The 17,664-nt window shown below is 55.6% G+C and overlaps 1 protein-coding gene across 5 annotated transcripts in view, besides 4 other annotated features; it reads right to left on the bottom strand.

Annotated features, from left to right (window-relative positions):
* Positions 1-17,664, bottom strand: part of NFIC (nuclear factor I C) — a 109,588-nt gene that overhangs the window by 21,784 nt on the left and 70,140 nt on the right. For all 5 annotated transcript variants that reach the window (NM_205843.3, NM_001245005.2, NM_001245002.2 and 2 more), the window contains exons 4-6: positions 13,842-13,916; positions 13,034-13,157; positions 12,227-12,351 (exon numbers count right to left, since the gene is read on the bottom strand). In NM_205843.3, coding sequence (NP_995315.1) covers positions 12,227-12,351; positions 13,034-13,157; positions 13,842-13,916 — 324 coding nt within the window. The remainder of the gene's footprint in view (positions 1-12,226; positions 12,352-13,033; positions 13,158-13,841; positions 13,917-17,664) is intronic.
* Positions 1,584-2,125: an enhancer, noted in NCBI's record as "H3K4me1 hESC enhancer chr19:3445307-3445848 (GRCh37/hg19 assembly coordinates)". NCBI's record gives its function as "activates a minimal SCP1, AML or CMV promoter by ChIP-STARR-seq in naive and primed H9 embryonic stem cells {active_cell/tissue: H9 hESC(naive and primed)}" and the evidence as "EXISTENCE:reporter gene assay evidence [ECO:0000049][PMID:30033119]".
* Positions 11,774-12,551: an enhancer, noted in NCBI's record as "H3K27ac-H3K4me1 hESC enhancer chr19:3434881-3435658 (GRCh37/hg19 assembly coordinates)". NCBI's record gives its function as "activates a minimal SCP1, AML or CMV promoter by ChIP-STARR-seq in naive and primed H9 embryonic stem cells {active_cell/tissue: H9 hESC(naive and primed)}" and the evidence as "EXISTENCE:reporter gene assay evidence [ECO:0000049][PMID:30033119]".
* Positions 11,798-11,847: an enhancer, noted in NCBI's record as "active region_13734". NCBI's record gives its function as "activates an Ori minimal core promoter by ATAC-STARR-seq in GM12878 lymphoblastoid cells {active_cell/tissue: GM12878}" and the evidence as "EXISTENCE:reporter gene assay evidence [ECO:0000049][PMID:35858748]".
* Positions 12,552-13,329: an enhancer, noted in NCBI's record as "H3K27ac-H3K4me1 hESC enhancer chr19:3434103-3434880 (GRCh37/hg19 assembly coordinates)". NCBI's record gives its function as "activates a minimal SCP1, AML or CMV promoter by ChIP-STARR-seq in primed H9 embryonic stem cells {active_cell/tissue: H9 hESC(primed)}" and the evidence as "EXISTENCE:reporter gene assay evidence [ECO:0000049][PMID:30033119]".

The raw sequence follows: 17,664 nt of genomic DNA, 5'->3' as shown, positions 1-17,664 counted from the left end.
TTCAAAATGAAGTGGGAACACAGAGCCCCAAAGAGGGCCATTTTGGGTATTTCCAGGAGGCTGGGGTGGAGTCCCAGCTCTGGAGCCGAAATGCCTGGCCTTCTGGGGCTGTGTCTTTTTTTTTTTTTTTTTTTTGAGATAGAGTCTCCCTCTGTCGCCCTGGCTGGAGTGCAATGGCGTGATCTCGGCTCGCTGCAACCTCCGCCTCCCAGGTTCAAGCGATTCTACTGCCTCAGCCTCCCGAGTAGCTGGGATTACAGGCGCCCACCACCACGCCCGGGTCATTTTTGTATTTTTAGTAGAGATGGGGTTTCACCATGTTGGCCAGGCTGGTCTCAAACTCCTGGCCTCAGGTGATCCACCCACCTCGGCCTCCCAAAGTGCTGGGATTATAGGCGTGAGCCACTGCACCCAGCCGAGTTATTTGTCACCCAGGCTAGAGTGCAGAGGCACGATCATGGCTCACTGCAGCCTCAACCTCCTGGGCTTAAGTGATCCTCCCACCTCAGCCTCCCAGGTAGGTGGGACCACAGGCATGCACCATCATGTCCAGGCAATTTTTTTTTTAGAGATGGGGTCTTGCTATGTTGCCCAGGCTGGTCTCAAACTCCTGGGCTCAAGGGATCCTCTTGCCTTGGTCTCTCAAAGTGCTGGGATTACAGGCGTGAGCCACAGTGCCTGGCCCCAGAGAAGCTTTTTCAAGTGAGGGCTAAGGATCACATCTTGCCTGAGAAATGCAGTGTCCTGGGCCCTACCCTATCCCTGGAAATGGAATCTCAGGGAGGCGTGCCCTGGGGAGCCGAATTTTTAGAAAGGATTTTTACATTTCTTTTAAGGTAAAACATATCTACTGAGACCATCCAAACAGGGTGATGAGTTTAGCTTCCCTTCGACCTGGCCCTTGGAGTTCCTTACCTCCAGGGTCTCTCAGACAGGCACTGTGGACACTGGGGCTGGATCATTCTCTGGGGTGGGGCCCTCCTGGGCACTGCAGGGTGCTGAGCAGAGTCCCTGGCCACCACCCACTTCATGCCAGGAGCACCCCCGGTTGTAACAACCACAGATGTCCCCAGACATCACCAAAAGTACCCTGGGCAAGAATCACGTGTGGGTGAGACCCTCTGGGTTAGGGGATCCCATGGACCCTCCACGAGACTATGTCCCATGATCCTCTGCCCTGCTGTGGTCCCAGGAGGCTGCACACACTGAAATCCACACGGAGTGAGGAGGGAGAGAGGAGGTGAATCCCAGGAGCTGGGGTCCCCCTGGTTTCTACCGTCTGCCCTGTCAGGAGCTTCTTCTGGTGTCTGGTGTGAGCAGTGACGTAACTCAATATTTTCCAAATAATTCACGCAGGATTTCTCAGTCTCAGCACTGCTGATGTGGGGGCCAGATCGGTCTCTGTAGGGAGCTGTCCTGGGCACTGCAGGGCGCTGAGCAGCACCCCTGGCCTCCACCCACTCCGTGCCAAGAGCGCCCCTCAGTGGGGACAACCACGGATGTCCCCAGATGTGACCTGCTGTCCCCGGGTGATGCCCTGATGAGAAACGGTGAGGATGTCACCGTGTCTTGGGTCTCCTGCTGGTGGTTCCATAGGCACCTGCAGGCATCTGTGTGGTACAGGCCCTCCCCAGTCCTGTCCCCACCTCCTCCATCCTCCCAGCATCGCTGCATCCTTCCCTGAACGGGGTTACCACTCAGGGAACTTCCGTCCTCTCTGATGGCTGCAGCCCAGGGGGAGCCCAGATCCAGGACCCAGCTGTGGGGGGACATGCAGCTCTTCATCTGCTTTTGTGGTTATGGAACCAGCTGTCCCCATGGCCCTGCACACACCATGCTGTGAGGAGTGAAGGTGTCACTGGGACACACCCCAGAAGCAGGTCAGCAGTTCCCAGGGACCCGGGAACACCCGGCTCTGGAGGAGGCGGGCACCCAGGACACCCACATGGGGGGCAGGAAGGATGACACCTCCACTCATGCCCAGCCTGTGAACACTCAAGGGGGAACACTCCTGAGGCCTCGGACATCGAGGCTGAGCCACCCAGAGAGGCCCCACTGCCCAGTGGGATGCCATGAAGTCTGTGACCAAGCTGGGCCCCAGCAGCCAGGCCCGGGCTTTTCCAGGGCAGGAGGATGTGGCAGGAATGAGGGTGGCCTGGAGCCGGGGAGGCCAGGCTGGTCTTGTCGGCACGTGTGTGTGCATGTGTATGCCTGTGCACGTGTGTGTGTGCATGTGAATACATGCATGTGTGTGCGTGCATGTATGTGTGTATGCCTGCACGCATGTGCACAGCTGCATGCATGTGTGCATGTCTGTGCATGTGTGTGTACGCATGTGAGCATATGTGGACGTGTGCACGCCTGCATATGTATGCCTGTACATGCACGTTCATATCTGTGTATGTGTATGCCTGTGCACGTGTCTATGTGTGTGAATGCGCACATGCGTGTGCACGTGAATATATGCATGTATGTGTATGCCTGCACATGCATGTTCATGTCTATGTATGTGTGCTTGCACGCACACGTACAGGTCTGCAAGCATGCATGCATACATGTGTGCACGCCTGTGCACGTGCGTGCATATATGTATGAGCATGCATGCGTGTGTGCAAGCGTGTGTGTGTGTGTGCAGGGGCTGGCAGCTCCCTGCAAGCGCAGGGCCACGGCGGGAACGAGGTTAGGGTTGTCAGACGCTCATTTAGGAGGATTTCCTAGAACCGCTTGTCCTGGATGGAAATAGTCTGGCTCAGACTCCACCCCCGGCCGCCACATCCCTGCAGGCACCGCTAGAGCTTCCTGAGATGGGGCCAGCGGCAGCCAGGGCAGGGCAGGAAGGAGGGGGGAGCGCAGCTCAGGCACCGCGAGAAAGAATAAGCCGGCACGCTCCCGGCAGGCTCTACGGACACTGACTCTGCACCCCGCCTCCAAGCATCCTCTGTCTGTTCAGCAGGCATGCCTGGGACCCCTGTGGGACCTCCCTGTTCAGCCAGCGGGCATGTGCGTCCCCCGCCCATCTCAGTGGCCATCTTTCCTCTCAGGGAACACATCCATACGCCCCTCCCGGCATCCTGAATGCCCCATCTGAGAATATTGACTGTGAGGAGGACGCAGGCCCGAGGGCTCCCCCATCAGAGCTTCTTCCTGTCTGTTTAACACACACGCCCATCTGACCTCCTCTCTGTATTTGACAAAAGGCCCTCATCACCCCGACGGAGCAGCCATTTGTCACACACGCCCATCTGACCTCCTCTATTTGACAAAAGGCCCTCATCACCCCGTCGGAGCAGCCATTTGTCACACACGCCCATCTGACCTCCTCTTTGTATTTGACAAAAGGCCCTCATCACCCCGTCGGAGCAGCCATTTGTTTGCTCAACAAACAAGCCCATCTCCCACTGAAATGCCGGCTCCCCCAGGGGGCCAAGGCCCACTCTGGCTGGGTCTCTAGGGTCCGGGGTCAGGAGGGGCCCTACACAGAGTGTGTGGAGTGGACAGAGGCCCCGATGCAGGGCATGAATCTGATGAGGACAGCAGTGACCACGGGGCGTTGACAGTGCACCAAGGTCTCCTCTGGGCCCTGTGGACATTTGGGACCGGATCATTCTCTAGGGTGGGGCCATCCTGAGCACTGCAGGGTGCTAAGCGGTGTCCCTGGACCCAATCCATGCCAGGACCACCCTGCAGTCGTGACAACCACACAGGTCCCCAGATGTCACCCAGTGTCCTCTGGGGTCAGGATCACCCATAGGTAAAATCCTCTGTCTTAGAGGATTCCATGGACCCCCAAGAGACTCTGCGTCCCATGATCCTCTGCGTCCCATGATCCTCTGCCCTGCAGAGGTCCCAGGAGGCTGCACACATTGAAATCCACACCTTGAGTGGGGAGGGAGAGAGGAGGTGAGTCCCAGGAGCTGGGGGTCCCCCTGGTTTACACACCGTCTGCCACACTAGGAGTTTATTCCGTTGTGAGCAGGGGGCAGACTTTTTTCTTTTTCTTTTTTTTTTTTTGAGATAGGGTCTCACGCTGTTGCCCAGACTGGAGTGCACTGGTGCAATCATAGCTTACTGCAGCCTTGACCTCCTGGGCTCAAGCGATCCTCCCAACCTCAGCCTCTCGAGTAGCTGGGACTACAGGCACACGCCACCACATGCAGCTAATTTGGTATTTTTTTGTAGAGACAGGGTTTCCCTATGTTATCAAACTACTAGGCTCAAGCGATCCTCCAGCCTTGGCCTCCCAAAGTGCTGGGATTACAGGTGTGAGCCACCACACTCAGCCTCAATTTTTTTCTACATAATTAATACAGGTTTCTCAGCCTCAGCACTGTAGACATTGGGGCTGGCTCGTTCCCTGGGGAGGGGCTGTCCTGGGCACTGCAGGGTGCTAAGCAGCATCCCTGGCCTCGACCCACTCCATGTCAAGAGCTCTCCCAGTTGTGACAACCACAGATGTCCCTAGACACCGGCCAGTGTCCCTGGGGGTGGGGCAGCATCGCCCTGGGTGAGGACCTTCTGTGAAGGCACTAGCCTCCTCTCTTAATGTGGTCCTCACAGCTGCCCCGTGCAGAGCTTACAGGAGCTGCGCCCATTTCACAGATGTGGAGGCTGAGGCCTGATGGGGGACGTCACTCGCCTAAGGCCATAGAGCCAAGGGGGGGTGGAGGTGGAGTTGGAACCCAACTCTGTCCCTCCCCAGGCCACGTTGCACTAGCCTCCACCCTGGGGTTAAAAAAAGGGATGGGCGGGCTGGGCTCGGTGGCTCACACCTGTCATCCTAGCACTGTGGGAGGCCGAGGCGGGCGGATCACTTGAGGTCAGGAGTTTGAGACCAGCCTGGCCAACATGGTGAAACTCCATCTCTACTAAAAATACACAAATTAGCTGGTCATGGTGGCAGGCGCCTGTAGTCCCAGTCCCAGCTATTTGCGAGGCTGAAGCAGAAGAATTGCTTGAATCTGGAAGGCAGAGGCTGCAGTGAGCCGAGATCATGCCACTGCACTCCAGCCTGGGCAACAGAGTGAGATTCTGACTCAAAAAAAAAAAAAAAAAAGGGATGGGAAGCCTGGGGTGACAGAGGAGAGGAATGGATGGGGGCTGCCTGCCCCGCCCTGTGTAATAACCGCCTGTGGACGGGACCTTTGTCGCCTTCAAGGGGGAGCTACACAAGCAGCAAAAACAAAGCACAGTGGGGGCTGCTCCAAGGCACCTTCCCTCCACCCCACGCAGCCGCGTAAGCAGGGAGGCCTCGGGTGGAGGCGGCCAGGAGAAAGGGCCTGGCCCAGGCCCCAAGCGGGCAAAGCCTAGAGGCTGGAATGTGGGGCCTGGAGGTGTGGGGTGGGGGTCTTGCCTGGCATCGGGCTGGCATGATCCCCCCAGGCCTCTGTGAGCCTCAGGGTTGGGGACTGGCTGAGCACTGCCCGGGAGAAAAGGCCCCGAGTCCGCCAGAGGAAGGGAGAGCTGCTCTAATCAGCTTAACCCCCTTAATGAGTGGCTAATTGGGGGCTGTCTAGACAGGAAGCTGGAAAGGGCAGGGAAGGGTGGGGGGAGGATGCCGAGGAGGAGGAGGAGCATCCCAGGGTGGTGGCCAGGGGCCAAGGGCACCTTCGGGAGAGACCCTGCCTGCCTGGGTTCCTGTTTTGTGTCCTCCCTCTGCGGAGGCACCCGGCTTGGGACAGCCTTGCAGGCTGCAACAATAAGCCTGGCCCTCCCCGTGCCCCCAGCCCCTCCGGCCCTTCCTGTGCCCCCGGCCCCTCTGGCCCTTCCCTTGGGCCCCTCTGGCCCTTGCCTCGGTCCACCAATGAGGTTACAGCTGGGCCCCACTGGGAACCTCAGGAACCCTGCTCCAGCCCAGGGGCCAGGCCTGTTCTGAGGCGTCCCCCTTGGGACTTCAGAGGCTGCGAAATGTTTACCGATGCAGGCCACAGCGATGGGGAGAGGCCCAGGAAGCACTGGGCATAAGCTCGGGGCTCTGCCCCTTCTTTGCTGTGGGACCTTTGGGCCTCAGTTTCCCCACTTGTCAACTGATGGCCAGGGGCAGCCCTGATCTCACAGAGTGTTGCCGGGAGGGGAAATAACCCGGCTTAGGACATCACAGATGCCCCATAAAACAAAGAGAGCGAGGTACCCTGAGTGGGGCCGCTGGGAACGGCCACGTGGTTCCGTGTCCCTGTGCACCCGCTTGCCGCTGGGGTGACCTGGAGCAGGTGATGTCACCTCTTTGAGCCTCAGGGTTTCCCTCTGCAAAATGAGGTGCCTGCCAGGCACCTCCGCAGGGCTGTCTGGGACTAAAATGTTGGGAAGGGACATAGAGAAAAAGCGGCCAGCCGGGTGTGGTGGCTCACACCTGCCATCCCAACACTGTGGGAAGCAGAGGCAGGAGGATGAGCCCAGGAGTTTAAGACCAGCCTGGGCAACACAGGGAACTCTGTCTCTACAAAAAGTACAAAAAATAGCCAGGTGTGTTGGCAAGTGCCCATAGTCCCAGCTACTTGGGAGGCTGAGGAAGGAGGATGGCATGAGCCCAGTGGGCGCTGATCGCACCACTGCACTCCATCCTGGGCGACAGAGCAAGTCACTATTTGGGAAAAACAAAACAAAACAAAACAAAAAAGGCCAGGCGCAGTGGCTCACGCCTGTAATCCCAGCACTTTGGGAGGCCGAGGCGGGCGGATCACCTGAGGTCAGGAGTTCGAGAGCAGCCTGGCCAACAGGGTGAAACCCCATCATTACTAAAAACACAAAATTAGCCGGGTGTGGTGGAACTCCTGAGGTCAGGAGTTCCAGACCAGACTGGCCAACATGGTGAAAACCCGCCTCCGCTAAAAATACAAAAATTAGCCAGCCGTGGTGGCGGGCACCTGTAATCCTAGCTATTCGGGAGGCTGAGGCACGAGAATCGCTTGAACCTGGGAGGCAGAGCTTGCAGTGAGTCAAGATCGCGCATTGCACCCCAGCCTGGGCGAGCGACAGAGAGAGATTCCGTCTCAAAAAAAAAAAAAAGAGTGGCCCAGACCAGGGGTCACGCACCTTCTCCCCACTCCGTTTAGGTGCTTTGCATATGCCTCTGGCTATATTATAGGGGAGATTCTGCCCGCAAGAGACATTTGGCCAGGTCTGGGGACATTTACGGTTGTCACCACTGGGGGGTGCTCCTGACACGGAGTGGGTGGAGGCCATGAACTCTGCACAGCACCCAACAGTGCCCAAGACAGCCCCGCCCCAGAGGATGGTCTGGCCCCAAACATCCACAGTGCAACTCCTCAAACCACGATTCTCCCTGCTGGGAATGCCCTCCCATCATCTTCCCTGCGGATAAATCCACTTAAATCATCCCGGTTGTAGCTTAGCCGCGAATTAATAATAAACCCGGCTCTCACGCCCCAGGTGCGTGCTTTACGTAAAGTCCAGCCCTGGGCCACGGGTGTTAAAATTCTTCCAGTGTTTGGCCGGGCGCGGTGGCTCACGCCTGTAATCCCAGCACTTTGGGAGGCCGAGGCGGGCAGATCACGAAGTCAGGAGATCGAGACCATCCTGGCTAACACGGTGAAACCCCGTCTCTACTAAAAATACAAAAAATTAGCCGGGCATGGTGGTGGGTGCCTGTAGTCCCAGCTATTCGGGAGGCTGAGGCAGGAGAATGGCATGAACCCGGGAGGCGGAGCTTGCAGTGAGCCGAGATCACACCACTGCACTCCAGCCTGGGCGACAGAGCAAGACTCTGACAAAAAAAAAAAAAAAAAAATTCTTCCAGTGTTTTCTCTTCACTGGGATATCAAGGCAGAGTTTTTTGAGATGGAGTTTCGCTCTTGTTGCCCAGGCTGGAGTGTAATGGCACAATCTCGGCTCACTGCACCCTCCGCCTCCCAGGTTCAAGTGATTCTCCTGCCTCAGCCTCCCGAGTAGCTGGGATTACAGGTGCCCACCACCACACCCGGCTAATTTTGTGTTTTTAGTAATGATGGGGTTTCACCCTGTTGGCCAGGCTGGTCTCGAACTCCTGACCTCAGGTGATCCGCCTGCCTCGGCCTCCCAAAGTGCTGGGATTACAGGTGAGCCTTTTTTTTTTTTTTTTTTTTTTTTTTTTTTTTTTTTTTTTTTGAGACAGGGTCTTTCTCTGTTGCCCCGGATGGAGTGCAGTGGTATGATCATAGCTCAGGGCAGCTTTGACCTCCCGTCTTAAGCAATCCTCTCACCTCAGCCTCCCAAGGAGCTGGGACTACAGGTGTACACCACTATGTGATGCTATTTTTTTTTTTTTTTTAAGTAGAGATGGGGTCTTGCCATATTGCTAGGATTACAGTTGTAAGCCACTGCACCCGGCCAGCAACCTGATCGTATAGCAGAGGAAATTGAGGGGCAGAGAGGTTAAGGAACCTGCCAAATGTCACACAGCTGGAGAAGCAGAGAAGCCAGTTGCCCGAGCTCCTCACTGCTCTGTCAGCCTGATTCTCCTCCTCGGGGAGGTCCTCCCTTTTCTTCCAAGTTCTATCAGGGTCCTCTTGTTCCCCCTGACTGTCTTCTGTGCCTCCTCCTCTGGGCTGTAGTCACCTGGATAAAAACCCATCTCCCTCACTAGGCTGTTAGCCCCTGGAAGGTAGGGACAAGAGTGGGTTGGATCATCTCTGTGTCCCCAGGGCCTCAGGTAGGGCCAGCACACAGGAGGGCTTTACACTGAGGATGAAACCCTCAGGAGGAGGCCGGGTGCGGTGGCTCACGCCTGTAATCCCAGCACTTTGGGAGGCCGAGATGGGCGGATCACGAGGTCAGGAGATCGAGACCATCCTGGCTAACACGGTGAAACCCCGTCTCTACTGAAAATAGAAAAAATTAGCCGGGCGTGGTAGTGGGTGCCTGTAGTCCCAGCTACTCGGGAGGCTGAGGCAGGAGAATGGCGTGAACCCGGGAAGCGGAGCTTGCAGTGAGCTGAGATGGCGCCACTGCACTCCAGCCTGGGCGACAGAGCGAGACTCTGTCTCAAAAAGAAAAAAAAAAAAAAAAAAAAGAAACCCTCAGGAGGGAGTGAGTTTGCCATCCCCTGAGGTAATCAAGTGGAAGCTGCAGGAGCACAGACCTCCTCTGACATTCCCTGCTAGCTCTGCGATTCCCAATCACAGAGCAGAAGCTGGTGGGGGCTTCCTCTTTGTCCTCCCCCCATTGCTACCACCTCCTTCCCCAGTGGAAGGGGTTGCCAGTGAGCAGCCGGGCAGAAAAGTCAGACTGAGCTCCAGAGCTTAAAATGTTTTCTTTTTGAGTTTTCTCTGTTGAAAGCTAGATTCTTTATTTTCCACCTTTCTCCTCTCCTAATAAATAGACTTAAAGCTACAATTTTTCCTCTCAGGGTTGCTTTGGCTCATCGCAAAGGTGGTCTTTCACTTTAATTAGCGTGCAGTTTACATTCTGACAGCCTCATCAATTACAGAGTTAATGAGAAGTCACGGCTGGGTGCGGTGGCTCACACCTGTAATGCCAGCACTTTGGGAGGCTGAGATGGGCGGATCACTTGAGGTTGGCGGATCACTTGAGGTCAGGAGTTCAAGACCAGCCTGGCCAACATAGTAAAAACCGTCTCTACTAAAAATACAAAAATTAGCTGGTTGTGGTGGTGCCCGCCTGTAGTCCCAGCTACTCGGGAGGCTGAGGCAGGAGAATCACTTGAACCCAGGAGGTGGAGCCGAGATTGCACCACTGCACTCCAGCCTGGGTGATAAGAGCGAAACTCCGTCTCAAAAAAAAAACAAAAAACAAAAAACAAAAAAAACGAAACAGAAGTGACTTTTTTTTTCTTTTTTTTTTTTTGAGACATAGTCTCGTTCTGTTGCCCAGGCTGGCGTGCACTGGCGTGATCTCTCAAAACAAGCAAGACTCCATCTCAAAACAAAAACAACAAACAAACAAAAAAAGAACCTCATAAATACTGAGACAGGTCCCCTGAGGGATGGAGACCCTTTAGGAATGTTCCTGCTCTGGGAGCCCACACTGTGGAAGGGAGGGGCCTTGGCACCTGAAATGTCACAACTAGATGCGTCCGAGTGCCGGAAAGAGACAGGAATTTTTTTTTTTTTTTGAGACGGAGTCTCGCTCTGTCACCCAGGCTGGAGTGCAGTGGCGCCATCTCAGCTCACTGCAAGCTCCGCCTCCCGGGTTCATGCCATTCTCCTGCCTCAGCCTCCTGAGTAGCTGGGACTACAGGCACCCGCCGCCACGCCCGGCTATTTTTTTTGTATTTTTAGTAGAGACGGGGTTTCACTGTGTTAGCCGGGATGGTCTCGATCTCCTGACCTCGTGATCCGCCTGCCTCGGCCTCCCAAAGTGCTGGGATTACAGGCGTGAGCCACCGAGCCTGGTCAGAGACAGGAATGTTATAAAGACGTGGATGACAGTGACCTCCCGTTTCCCGGGTATGTCGCATGGGCCAGACGGTTGCTTCACGCACATCCTACCCTTCCTCCTCCTGTAGCTCCCAAAGAACATTATTCACATCACCCCCATTGTGGAGATGAAGAAACTGAGGCTTAGAGAAGTTAAGTGATGTGCCCCAGGTTACACAGCACACAGAGCTAGACACGGGCAGGGCTGGGATCTGAACCCAGGTCTCTCCAATGCCTGAATCTGACCTCTTAATCCTAATGTTATACTGCTTCTAAAAATCCTACAGGTGGCCGGGAGCAGTGGCTCACACCTGTCATCCCAGCACTTTGGGAGGCCGAGGTGGGTGGATCACCTGAGGTCAGGAGTTTGAGACCAGACTGGCCAACATGGTGAAACACTGTCTCTACTAAAAATATAAAGATTAGCCGGGTGTGGTGGTGGGTGCCTGTAATCCCAGCTACTTGGGAGGCTGAGGCAGGAGAATTGCTTGAACTCAGGAGGAAGGGTTGCAGTGAGCCAAGATCTCGCCACTGCACTCCAGCCTGGGTGACAGAGCAAGACTCCATCTCAAAAAACAAAAATTAAAAAAAAATAAGAGGGGCCCGGCATGGTGGCTCACACCTGGAATCCCAGCACTTTGGGAGGACGAGGCAGGAGGAAAGATCACACTTGAACTCAGGAGTTCAAGACCAGCTTAGGCAACATAGTGAGACCCCATCTCTACCAAAAAAAAAAAAAAAAAAAAAAAAAAAATTAACGGCGCATGGCAGTATGCACCTGCAGTCCGATACTTGGGAGGCTGAGGCAGGAGGATCACTTGAACCTGGGAGGTCGAGGCTGCAGTGAGCCAAGATTGCACCCCGGCACTCCAGCCTGGGCAGCAGACCGAGACTCCGTTTCAAAAACAAACAAACAAACAAACAAACAAAAACAGAGGCCGGGCGTGGTGGCTCACGCCTGTAATCCCAGAACTTTGGGAGGCCGAGGCGGGCGAATCACCTGAGGTCGGGAGTTTGAGACCAGCCTGACCAACATGGTGAAACCCCGTCTGTACTAAAAATAGAAAAAATTAGCCGGGCATGGTGGTGCATGCCTGTAATCCCAGTTACTTGGGAGGCTGAGGTAGGACAATTGCTTGAACCAGGGAGGTGGAGGCTGCAGTGAGCGGAGATCGCGCCATTGCACTCCAGCCTGGGCAACAAGAGCGAAACTCCATCTCAAAAAAAAGAAAGAAAGAAAGAAAGAAAGAAAGACACCCCAGAGAGGACCCTTCTGAAGACAGAAAAGCAAGAGGATAAAATCTTCCTAGAAAACGACGCCATGGGAATGGAGACCCTACAGAAAGGAGACGAGTCTCCTGCAGAACCAGAAGATCCCATGGAGATGGGAACCTGGTTAAAAAAAAAAGTAACCTCAAGAAGGACCCCAATGAGAAGGGATCCGGCATCTCAGGACCTTCTAGAGGGGAAGAGGACAAACAGGGTCCCTACAGACGAGGGATTCTATGACAGATCCCAGGAAGAGGCGCCCTGTTGATCAGAGTCACTACTGAGTCCATCCTGCAGCTCGGGGACCCCACAGAGATGTGGCATTCACGGCCGGAGGGCAGGAGAGTCAGGCAGGGGACAGTCTCTGCCCTCCTTCGCCGCAGCGGAACCAAAGAGATCCGAGAACGCGAACCCGGACCGTACTTCCAGCCAAGCGCAGCTCGGGACGACTACAATTCCCAGGAGGCCCCGCGGCTCCAGGCCGGCTTCCTGCCCCGCGGCGCCCGCGCAGTGGCTGCCGGAAGACGTAGTTCCCGCCACGGTGACTCAGACCGGAAGGCCGGCTCCGCCCCCGCCACCAGCCCTACCTCCTTCCATGTCCTCCGTCCAGTTGCGGCTGCTACTCGTGGGCGAGCTGGGCGAAGTGTAGTAATCGCCGCCAGGGCTCGTGTCCACGTCTTCCTCCATCGAGCCCGATTTGTGCCGCTTGCTCCTTATGGGCGAGGGAAGGGGAGAGGCTGGTTACCAGGGAGACGCGGGGCGGGGGGCGCGACGGCGGGCTTTGCTACTTCCGGTCCTTAAGTGAGCGGGGGCGAGGGAGGTAGTATCGCGAGACATCGCGGGAGCCGCGGGCGTTCAGCCCGTTCCCTACGAACGCCTGTTCCAACCTGTCCATTGCTTGGATGGGACACCCGGGCCAGAGGCAGGGAGGGTCTCAACACAGGTCGGACACCAAGCTAGCATGGTGGAGACCAAAACCCAGGCAGCCTGGCTAATCTCCTGGCCACCTGTAGTCCTCAGAACTGCCTGTTAGGGGTATGATCCCATTTTATGGATGGGGAAACTGGGGCACACACAGTGTGACCTGCTCGAGGTCACAAAGCATATCTCAGCAACAACCTGTGTCTGCATTCTTCTGGGTGGGGAGGGTCCTAAGGGCTGGCTGAGCCGGCAGGACTTGAGGCTGGGGGAGCCCACGGTGGGCTGTCAGGGCTAGGGGAAGAGGCACGTGGGGCTGGCTGGGTTTTGAAGGATGAGATGAGTAGGAGTTTCTCAGGCCAGGTGAATCGTGAAAAGAGGTATTCCAGGGAGAGGAATGAGTCAGCTCGGGCCAGAGGGGATGGGTTGATGAATGGGGTCATGAAATGCCCAGAGGTGGGGACCTGGGTACTTACCCACTGGAGGAGGTGCTGGGCAGCGTTCTTCTGAGGCCAGTGCTGGCTGGGTTCAGGTCGTATGCCAGGTGCCCCTGCAGCTCCCCCAGGGAGAAGTTGGGTCCTGTTCCAGTCACCACGGGTGCTGCAGAGGGTGACAGAGGAGAGTGAGGCAGGAAGCAGTGCCCAGTGCTGCGGTTTGCTTTAGAGAGGTAGGGAAAGCCACTGGGTGCAGTCCAAAGGGGGACCCCCTTCCCATATTGGCCCGGTTCCTAGGGTGGCTGAAACCAGTTTTATTCTATGGATCAGAGGACCAAGGCCATGGGGAGAGGCCAAGAGCACACTGTGAGGCAGAGGTGTAGCCAAAGCTGGAGGCCAGGCTCTGCTGATCTGGACAGGGAAGGTGTCAGTCAGGGCTAAAGAAGGACAGCGCCCAGGACTCGCTGGGGTGGGATTCAGACAGTGTGTGACGGAATGTGCTGGGTCCCCAGCAGGTCAGCAGAGAAAGCAAGGGGACAGGAGGGGCGGGGTCCTTTGGGGTCTCCTGGGACAGGACAGTGGAGGCCCCAGGGAGGAGGAGGGATGCTGGGGCAGAAGTTTCCTTAGTTGCCATCCAGCATTTAGATTCTGTTTCCTGGAGAGGTGGGAGGGAGCCCTGACCTTGGGCTCTGGGAAGGGCCTGGCCACCTCCCTTTCTAGGAACCTTGGCTTAGTGACACAGGGGGTTGTCTGGAAAGGACAAGGAGTAGGGTGAGGGGGGTGGGCTCCTTCCTCCCTGCGGCCCCCTCCCCTCTCCAAGACCCAGCTCAGGGCTGACGGGAACACTCACTCCGGGACACTTGGATGAGCTCAGTGACGCTGAACACGCCGGAGGTGACAAAGCTCTCCTGGAAGTCGGTCGTGTCTGGAACAGGAAGACAGCGGGGTCAGTAGGCTGAGCTGGGCCTGTTTCCCTTCCCCACACTCCAGGGCTGCCTGGACTCCTGGGGGCTGGCCCGAGCCTGGACGTTCCCCCTGTCCATCCTGTGCTGTGGGGGAATGACAGCTCCAGTCTGATGGGGAAGGCCCCGTGGGGGGTCCTTGTCCAGTGTGGGCCTTCACACAGCCTTCATCCGGGTTCCCCCATGCTGTGGAATGCTGCATTCAAGTGAACAGCAGGCCGGGCGCAGTGGCTCATGCCTGTAATCCCAGCACTGTGGGAGGCCGAGGCAGGAGGAACGCTTGAGCTCAGGACTTCAAGACCAGCCTGGGGAACACAGCGAGACCCCATCTCTACAAAAAGTGTTAAAATTAGCCAGGTGTTGTGGTCCGTGCCTGTAGTCCCAGCTACTCAGGAGGCTGAGGCTGGAGGATCACTTGAGCCTGGGAGGTGGAGGCCGCAATGAACCATTGTTGTGCCACTGCACTCCAGCCTGGGAAACAGGGCGACACCCTCTCTTAAAAAACGAGTGGAGCCGGGTGCGGTGGCTCACGTCTGTAATCCCAGCACTTTGGGAGGCCGAGGCGGGAGGATCACAGGTCAGGAGATGGAGACCATCCTGGCTAACACAGTGAAACCCTGTCTCCTAAAAATACAAAAATTAGCCGGGCGTGGTGGCAGGCGCCTGTAGTCCCAGCTACCTGGGAGGCTGAGGCAGGAGAATGGTGTGAACCCGAGAGGTGGAGCTTGCAGTGAGCCGAGATTGCGCCACTGCACTCCATCCAGCCTGGGCAACAGAGCAAGACTCCATCTCAAAAAAAAAAAAAAAAAAGAGCGGAAAGCGGAGGCCTGGGCTCACATCGGCTCCATCACCTGCCTCGGTGTGTGATCTGGGGCAGGTCACTTTCCCTCTCTCAGCCTCCAAGTTTCCCTAATTGCAAAAGTGAAACCATCAATCCCATCATCGGGGTTGTCGTGAGATCTGTATCCAACTGCCTGGGAGGGGCAGCTGGCTTGCTTTACACACTGTCACCCTTCGAGATACTCTGGCTTCTTGTTCTTCTCCCCTTCAGACTGGGAGGTCCGTGTGGGCAGGGATGTCTGTCTGCCCCGACCCTGCAGTGTCCTTCGTGCCTAGACCAGAGCTTGGCACCCAGCAATGGGTCAGTTAAAATGGGGGGTTGAATGGGAGGCCCACAAGCCGCAGTTAAAACCCTCAGTGTCCCCAGCATTGCTCCTACCTAATATTAAAGGAAGGGAGACTGTCCTCTCGACTGGAGTGGTTTGGACCCATTTCACAGATTTGGAAATCGAAGTTGTCCCCGAGAGGTCGGGAGCCTTGGCCAACCTCAGACAGCTTGGGGACAGCCCTGTCCTGCCCTCGGACGCCCTTGTAGGAGGGATTCATGGACTCAACAGGCGTTTACTAAGCATCCACAGTGTCTGATTCTGAGCTGGGCCCCGGCACAGCAGGAGATGATACAGGCTGAAGCAGTTGCCCCTGTGAGACTCAAAGTCCAGTGTGAGCGACAGACAGCAGCCAAGATTAATAGGTCAGCAAAAGTCCACGAATGTTCCTAGCAGCACTGTTCACCACAGCTCAAACTGGAAAGCCACCCAAATGTCCCTTCAAAAGATGAAGAGATAAACACAGCGTGGTCTAGCCACACACTGGAATAGGACTCAGCCGTGAAAAGGATGCCGGGCGTGGTGGCTCATGCCTGTAATCCCGGCACTTTGGGAAGCTGAGGTGGGTGGATCTCGTGAGCTCAGGAGTTTGAGATCAGCCCGGGCAACATGGCGAAACCCTGTGTCTACAAAAAATACGAAAATTAGCTGGGTATGGTGGCTTGTGCCTATAGTCCCAGCACTTTGGGAAGCTGAGGCAGGTGGATCACTTGAGCCCCAGAGTTTGAGACGGGACTGGGCAACATGGCGAAACCCCATCCCTACAAAAAGTACAAAAATTAGCTGGGCGTGGTGGTGCACACCTGTAGTCCCAGCTACTTGGGAGGCCGAGGCGGGAGGATAGCTCGAGCCCTGGAGGTTGAGGCTGCAGTGAGCTATGATTGCACCACTGCACTCCAGCCTCGGGGACAGAGCAAGACCCTGTCTCAAAAAAAAAAAAAAAAAAAAAAAAAAGAAGAAGGAAAAGAAAAAGAATGAGGCCTTGGGCTGGGCGCAGTAGTGGTAGCTCACACCTGTAATCCCAGCACTTTGGGAGGCTGAGGCAGGTGGATCACCTGAGCTCAGGGGTTCAAGACCAGCCTGGCCAACATGGTGAAACCCCATCTCTACTAAAAATACAAAAATTAGCCGGGCATGGTGGCGGGCACCTGTAGTCCCAGCTACAGGCCGAGATCGCGACATTGCACTCCAGCCTGGGCATCAGAGTGAGACTTCATCTCAAAACCAGTAAATAAATAAAAATAAAAGAACGAGGCTCTGACACAGGCTACAACATGGATGCACCTTGAGGACATCATTCAGTGAGGGACACCAGAGACAAAAGGCCACACAGTGTGTGATGCCATTTCTTTCTTTCTTTTTCTTTTCTTTTTTTTTTTTTTTGAGACGGAGTCTCACTCTGTCGCCCAGGCTGGAGTGCAGTGGCGCAATCTTGGCTCACTGCAACCTATGCCTCCCAGGTTCAAGCGATTCTCCTGTCTCAGCCTCCCAAGTAGCTGGGATTACAAGTACCTGCCACAGTGCCTGTCTAAATTTTGGATTTTTAATAGAGACGGGGTTTCACCATCTTGGTCCGGCTGGTCTCGAACTCCTGACCACATGATCCACCCACCTTGGCCTCCCAAAGTGCTGGGATTACAGGCATGAGCCATTTCACTGAAATGTCCAGGACAGGCCAAGCCACAGAGACAAGAAGGGGATGCGTGGGCACCAGGGCTGGGAGAGGAGACAGGGAGTGGTGGCTGATGGGGATGGGGTTTCTTTTAGGGGGGATGAAATGTTCTGGAATTAGGCCAGGCTCGGCGGCTCACATCTGTAATCCCAGCACTTTGGAAGGCTGAGGCAAGAGAATCACTTAAGGTCAAGAGTTCGAGACCAGCCTGGCCAACATGGTGAAACTCCATCTCTACTGAAAATACAAAAAATTAGCCGGGTGTGGTGGCATGTGCCTATGATCCCAGCTACTTGGGAGGCTGAGCCATGAGAATTGCTTGAACCAGGAAGGTGGAGGTTGCAGTGAGCCGAGATTGCGCCACTGCACTCCAGCCTGGGGGTAAAAAAAAAAAAAAAGAAAGGTTCTGGAATTAGATAGAGGTGAATGTACTTAGTGCACTTTGACTTGGACACTTAAAAATGGCTAAAATGATGCATTGTACATCATGCACATTTTACTACAAATTAAAAGCTCATTAAGTCAAATGCGAGGTGCATCAGCCTGTGGTAAGGCAGGCGGCTGGTGGGGAACTAGCTAGGGTGGGGAGGGAGGCTATTTTACACCCAGGGCTCAGAGAAAGCCTGACCGAGATGGTGGCATTTTACAGACCTCAAGATGAGACTGGATAAGAGGAAGGAACTTGTTAAAATCTGCAAAGCTCCGAGAACAGCGCCTGGCAACCGCCCCGTGACTGTTGGCTTCTCCGATGGGGATGATGTTTCATCACCTCCCTGAGGGCCACGATGTTCCCGGCACTGGGAACAGCCCGTGCAAAGGCCTCCGGGTAGAAATGCACTTGGCAAGTTGCAGGCCAGCAGGGTTGGAGTGGAA

Source organism: Homo sapiens, chromosome 19, assembly GCF_000001405.40.
Source record: "Homo sapiens chromosome 19, GRCh38.p14 Primary Assembly".
Taxonomy (NCBI): Eukaryota; Metazoa; Chordata; class Mammalia; order Primates; family Hominidae; genus Homo; species Homo sapiens.
The sequence above is the reverse complement of the archived record's forward strand: the minus strand, read 5'-3'. Positions and strand labels throughout refer to the sequence as shown.